Source organism: Homo sapiens, chromosome 3, assembly GCF_000001405.40.
Source record: "Homo sapiens chromosome 3, GRCh38.p14 Primary Assembly".
Lineage (NCBI taxonomy): Eukaryota > Metazoa > Chordata > Mammalia > Primates > Hominidae > Homo > Homo sapiens.
The window spans coordinates 107213026-107220412 of NC_000003.12; the positions used below are offsets into that span (position 1 = coordinate 107213026).

The 7387-nt window shown below is 38.6% G+C and overlaps 1 long non-coding RNA gene across 1 annotated transcript in view; it reads right to left on the bottom strand.

The window, feature by feature from the left end:
* LINC00882 (long intergenic non-protein coding RNA 882) overlaps nt 1-7387 on the bottom strand; it is a 130849-nt gene that overhangs the window by 103236 nt on the left and 20226 nt on the right. The gene's annotated exons all lie outside the window — the stretch shown is intronic.

The following is a 7387-nucleotide window of genomic DNA, read 5'->3' on the forward strand; positions in this document are numbered from 1 at the left end:
CCTCTTGTTGAAACTCACAGAGTATCATTGTCCTATAACTTGAAATTGTGCCCTAGAATTATTTTATTACAGTGCAAAAGTAGATGTCCAGAGATCCAAAAGCTACAGTTTGTTACTTGATGGTGCACAAAACCACATAAATGTTGCTATGTGTTCAGCTTCTTCACTCTCAGCCCTCGCTTGCTCATTTCCAAAGTTTAAAATAAGCAGTGAATGCAGATTGGCAGAGAAAAAAATCCCATCACCAAAGGACAGTATAGAGACTGAATGTTTGATATCTAGGAAAGGTAACTCTACTCTTTCTTTAAGAAAGGCTATGAGAGGTTTGTGTGTATTTTCTTTATGTAGACCGGGGATATTTTTAGCATCAGTTTGTAAGGTCACTTTCTTCTGCTCTAATGGCTACTTTCCTTAGAATTGCCAAGCACAACAAACTCCAAAACCATAGTTCCCCTTACGACAGCTCTGATTAGCTCGATGCCAAATACAATCAGAACAGCATTCAACCATTTGGGCAGAAACACACAAACAAACTCTAGTACAGGCATACCTCACTTCATTGCCCTTCCTTTTACTGCTCTTCACAGATAATAACATTTTTTGTTTTTTTACAATTGGAGTTTTGCAGCAAACCTGCGTCGAGCAAGTCTATCAGCACAAACTTTCCAACTGCACGTGCTCACTTCGTGTCTCTGTGTCACACTTCAGTAATTCTCAAAATATTTCAAATATTTTCATTACAATTATATATGTTGTGGTGACCTGTGATCAGCGATCTTTGATGTTACTACTGTAATTGCTTTGGGGCACCACAAGTTGCACCCACATGACAGCAAGCTTTTTTTTTTTTTTTTTTTTTTTGGCGATAGAGTATCACTGTGTGGCCCAGGCTGGAGGGCAGTGGCGCAATCTTGGCTCACTGCAACTTTTGCCTCCTGGGTTCAAGCAATTCTCCTGCCTCAGCCTCCCAAGTAGCTGAGATTACAGGTACCCACTACCAGGCCAGCTAATTTTTGTATTTTTAGTAAAGACAGGGTTTCACCATGTTGGCCAGGCTGGTCTCGAACTCCTGACCTCAAGTGATCCACCTGACTCAGCCTCCCAAAGTACTGGGATTACAGGCGTGAGCCACCACGCCCAGCCATGACAGCAAACTTAATCAATGTTGTATGTGTTCTGACTGCTCTACCAACTGGCCATTCCTACATCTCTCTCCCTCTCGTATAGCCTCCCTTTTCCCTGAGACACAATCTTGACATTAGCCAAGTAATAACCCTGTAAGTGTCCAAGTGAAAGGAAAAGTTGCACATCTCTCATTTTATATCAAAAGCTAGAAGCGATTAAGCATAATGAGGAAGACATATTGAAAGCCAAGACAGGCCAAAAAGCTAGGTATTTTGTACCAGTTAACCAAGTAGTGAATGCAAAGAAAAATTTCTCAGAGCAAATTAAAAGTGCTGCTCCAGTGAACACACAAATGATAAGAAAGCAAAACAGCAATGTTGCTGATATGAAGAAAATTTTAATGGTCTGGATAGAAGATCAAACCAGCAACAATATTGCCTTAAGCCAAAGCCTAATCCAGGATAAGGCCCTAACTCTCTTCAATTCTATGAAGGGTGAAAGAGGTGAGGAAACTGCAGAAGAAACATTTGCTAGTGAAGGTTAGCTCACGAAGTTTAAGGAAAAAAAAAACTCTATAAAACAAAAAAGTGCAAGGGGAAATGCTAATGTAGAAGCTACAGCAAATTATCCAGAAGATCTAGCTAAGATCATTGATGATGATGGCTACAGAAAACAACAGACTTTCAATGTAGACAATCCATCCTTCTATTGGAAGAAGATGCCATATAGGACTCCATATGGGCATAGAGAAAAATTTCACATTGCCACTTCCATGTTCCAGGGAGGAGAAATCAACACCTGGCTTCAAGCTTCAAAAGACAGGCTGACTCTCTTGTTAGGGACTAATGCATCTGGTAACTTGAAGTTGAACCTAATGTTCAGTTACTATTCCAAAAATCCTAGAGCTCTTGAGAATTATGCTAAATCTACTCTGCCTCTGCTTTACAAGTAGAACAACAAAGCCTGGATGATAGCACATCTGTCTATAGCATGTTTTGCTGAATATTTTAACCCCACTGTTGAGACCTACTGTTCAAAGAAAAGATTCCTTTCAAAATATTACTGCTCATTGACAAGACTCTTAGTCACTCAAGACCTCCAATGGAGAAATACAAGTAGATTAATGTATTCATGCCTGCTAATACAACATCCATTTTGCAGCCCATGGATCAAGGAGTAATTTTGACATTCAAGTCTCATTATTTAAGAAATATATTTCATAAGGCTATAGCTTCCCCTATAGATAGTAATTACTCTGATAGATCTGGGCAATGTCCATCGGAAACCTTCTGGAAAGGATTCACCATTCTAGATGCCATTAAGAACATTCATGATTCATGGAAGGATTTCAAAACACCAACATTAGCAAGAATCTGGAAGAAGTTGATTCCAGCCTTCATGGATGACTTTGAAGGGTTCAATAATTTGAGAGGAAGTAACCACAGATGGGGTAGAAATAGTGAGAGAACTAGAATTAAAAGTGGAGCCTGAAGACGTGACAATTGTTGCAATCTCATAAAACTTGAACAGATTGGGAGTTGTTTCTTATGAATGAGCAAAAGAAGTGGTTTATTGAGGCGGAATCTACTCTTGGTGACGATGCTGAGAACATGTTAAAATGACAACAAAGGATTTAGAATATTACATAAACTTCCCTGATAAGGCAGTGGCAGGGTTTGAGAGGATTGACTCTAATTTTGAAAAACGTTCCACTGTAGCGAAAATGCTACCAAACAGCATTGCATGCTGCAGAGAAGTCTTTCATCAAAGGTAGTCAACTGATGCAGCAAAAAACACTGTTGTTTAAGAAATTGCCATGGCCACTCCAACCTTCAGCAACCATCACTCTGATTAGTTAGCATCCATCAACTTCAAGGCAAGACCTTACAGCAGCTAAAAGATTACAACTCACTGAAGGCTCAGATGATCATTAGCATTTTTAGTATAAACAATTTTTAATTAAGATATATACATTGTTTTTTAGACATAACACTATTGTATTCACAGCAGTCTACAGTATAGTGTAAGCATAACTTTTATAGGGAGTGGGAAACCAAAACATTCATGTGATTTGCTTTATTTCAATATTCACTTTATGGCAGTGGCCTGGAAGTGAACCCGTGCATGTATAGTGGTGCCCGTATCAGAATCCCCAGTCAATTTCCACATCTAGGACACACTGAAATACATTCATCCTCACCCAGCTGCACCTACCCTATGAACCACTGCTCTAGTACCCATAGCCTTTCACTGATACCATCATCAGCTGTGGCCAGGATCCCGCTAATCAACCTGCCACTTCAGGTAACAGATAACCACATTTGAATTGCGCACAGCCTGTGACCCAGCAGGCCTACTTGAAGGAATTTATTCTACAGATATTTGCACAAGAAGGAAAGAACATGCAAGTGGCAATGTGAAATTTTACCACAGCTCATATAATGAAAAAGGAGGAAAACACACTAATGAACGGATTAAATTAATTCTGTTGAAACAATGAAATTCTAATTCAGCTGTTAAGAAAGGAATAGGTACATCTATATTTGTGGACATATTAGAGAGAAGATTAACTCAGCTCCTCACTGGTTTTGGCAGCCTCCGAACAGGCTTTTAGTCATCATTTTAGATAAAAGCTGAGCTGAGAAAAGGGATCTTGGAGTTGGGCCCATATGACACTTTCATAAGAACACTGAGAAGGTTTTGTTACATCAAAACCACAAGCTTTGTAGGAAAACTTCCTAGCCTGTATGGCAGAGCACACTGGGCTGACGCACATTTGCTACAGCTGTACCAAGATATTATTCCACTCAAAGTGGCCAGGGCAGGGCCCAGAGCCACCTGGACCTGTTGCTACCAGCGGTGAGCAGTCTCTTCTCTTCACTCCAGAGTGCTGCCCAAATATCAACATTTCCATGTGTGCCATACAGGTTTGGGAAGTGGTGAATGTCAGGAACTGCTTTTAAAACATCAAAGGTTACCTGGCACTGGTATCACTGCTTGTCTCAAAGGCAAATTTCCAAAGCAAAGGAAACAGATCATTGACTGTAACTAGAGCAACCTAAGCAAAAGAATAAAGATACCTTGGGCTATTTGAACCCTTTCCCCCTTATACCTTAAAGTCACTTTGAAATGCTAAGTGAAGGAAACCAGATACAAAAAATTGTATGATATATGACGCCGTTTATGTGGAATGTCCAGAAACGGCAAATCCATAGAAACAAAGTAGATTAGTGGTTGCCTGAGGCTGGGGCAGGAACACAGATTAAAGGCAAATGGGCATGAGGAATCTTTCGGGAATGATAGAAATGTTCTCAAATTGGATTGCGGTAATGGTTGCACAAGTCTGTAAATTTACTAAAAAATCAATGAATTGTAAACCTAAGATGGGTGATTTTTACAATATAGAAATTGCATCTCAATAAGATTCAAGAAATACTTGGAAGGAATATTAAACAACTTATAATTTTAGCCATATTACTTATACTTCTAAACAAAAGAAGTATATATAAGTTATAAACAAGTAGTGCATATTTATATGTTTTTTTAATTTTAAAAAATACTATATTTTAAAAAACAAAAAGAATGTATTTTCTCTTGAATAGGCACAGAAAAATGACTAGCAGGAAATATAAGGAATTTTGTTTTTAATGGGTGAGAATGGAGTTTCCTTGCCGGGAAATTTTGACTTCTTACTTTATGCTTTTTTTTTTTTTTTTTTTTTTACCATTAGATATTTTTATAGGCAAAAATTCCCTTTATTTAAAAATATATAAATTATCCTTAATGTCTGTGTTTTTCTTTTGATCTCAAATAGGCTTGTCACCAAAGTTCTCAGAACATATATTATTGATTAAATATTTCATGTCCAGAATAAAAAGGTAAAGTACTTGCTGATTCTGGAAAAAATGTTAAGGATCTAACACACTGTCCCTTGGCGAATGCACTGGGTGACATTCTGCAGAGTAGGTTTATGTTCTGCTTATAGTTTGGAAATAATTTAAGATCAGGGGTTGGCAAACCTGTTCTTAAGGAGCCAAATAATAAATATGGTTGTTTTCCCAGGCCAAATTGTCTCTGTCTAAACAACTCTGCTATTATAGCTTAAAAGCAGCCATGGAGAATATATTTTAAAATGGCTTGGCTGTGTTTGCCAACTCCTATATTAAGTGGTGAAATGAACAATTTTTTAAGATTTGCTTGAAAATATATTAGAAAAATATAACCAGCACATCCAGCCCATGACTTCACAACTATTATTACTTGGGAGGAAATTAAACTTATGTATGTTTTTAAAAGGCTGGAGATTTAAAGAAAAATATTAAGCAGGTTACAGAATAGATGGTCCATGGTATGACGAAAATAATAAAAGATATTTGCAAATGGCAAACATTTGGGAAAACTTCACTTGAACATAAATAACAGCTTCTTACTAACAATAAACCATGGGATGAGGAAAATCTCTCCACACTAGGTAATTCTTCCCAGTGACCCAATTCAGTATTTGAGACAATGCTCCTTGAAAGAAATATTAAAATGTAGATTAAAAATCCCCAAAGGGAAGGGTCCTTAATATTTGCTGGATTATGGAAGCTATGGACCTGCTCTGCAGAAAAAAAAATATGTACTGAAAAACTGTGCTCCCTGACACACATCCAAATTTAGAGACCTCAAAGTGGTAAAAAACAAGACAGCATACACAACGATATTATTCAAAGGCTTTTCCAGGCACTCTAGCGCACATGACCTGTGCTCAGCACCGGGCTCAGCAAAACACACAGATCAAGAATACAGTGCCCTTTGGGAGCCTGTGCCCTCCTCAAATACCAACTGTGATGACATAGGAAGCTGAGCAGGGTCAAAATAAGGGATGCTGCTGTCAAGCCCAGCCCCCATTCAGTTCCACAATTCCGGTCAGAAACAAAACAGACTTCACATTCCAACACAGGGCCATCATTTCCAAATTGATAACTCAGTCATCACAGGGTGTTTCTACCTAGGAAAATTAGGAGTGAGAAAGGGCAAGAGAAAGGGTGGACGGTAGGGAGCAAAAGGAGCTGGCATTGTTGAACACCACGCATGGGCTATGCACTAGACAAAGGCTGTTTTATTGAGTGCTCACAACAAATCCACGAGGTAGATATAATTATCTCCATTTTAGAGAAAAGGAAATGGAAACATTTGCCAAGATTTATCTCCTTTGTCTCATCAAGATGGAACACTTGTAACAGTAATAATGAACAGTAATTATTGGTCTATAAACATGTTTTATTATTTTATGTTTCCCTGTTAGCTTGTTCATGCTACTAGAATCTCTTTTCTATATCTATATTCAACTAAATTATACTTGGCTTTAAGACTCAGCTTAAGCACTGCTTTCCCCAACAAGCCTTCCCTAACACTCTCCCCCATTCTCAATTCACACCTGCCTTGGTTTTAAGTTCCACAGGACTCTACCCTGCTACATAATTCCATAGTAACACTCCACTTTAACTGCTAACTTGCTTGCCAGTCTCCCCCAATAGACTAAAATCTCCGTGGACGTTCAGAGATTATTTTTATTGACTTCCCTTCTCAGAGCTTAATACTATGTCTGCCACAAAGTAAGGACTCAGTAACATCTGCTGAATGAATGAATGCATGAAGAAACTGCATTGCCCAATGTCTAATTAGCATGTAAGTTGTAGAAGCAGGATCTGAACCTAGTCATTCTTTCCATTATACCATAATGTGAGTATGAAAAAAATAAATTATTGGCCAGGTGTGGTGGCTCACGCCTGTTAATCCCAGCAGCACTTTGGGAGGCCGAGATGGGCCGATCATGAGGTCAGGAGATCGAGACCATCCTGGCTAACAGAGTGAAACCTCGTCTCTACTACAAAAATTACAAAAAATTAGTCAGGCCTGGTGGCATGCTCCTGTAGTCCCAGCTACTCGGGAGGCTGAGACAGGAGAATCTCTTGAATCCAGGAAGCGGAAGTTGCAGTGAGCCGAGATCACGCCACTGCACTCCAGCCTGGGCGAGAGAGAGAGACTCCGTCTCAATAAATAAATAAATAAATAAATAAATAAATAATTTACTATTTTAGCTTTAGGATATTAAAAGATAGTCCATCAATGACTCGATTGCTCCGAATTGCTTGGGGAATCCTTTTGGAAGTACCATAAACTAGCCTATAAGGGACAAAAGAACATTTAGAAAGTAATTTTTAGGATGGACATTATTAAAATGTCTGAAATTCAAGGAAAATTAACATTCTGTTGT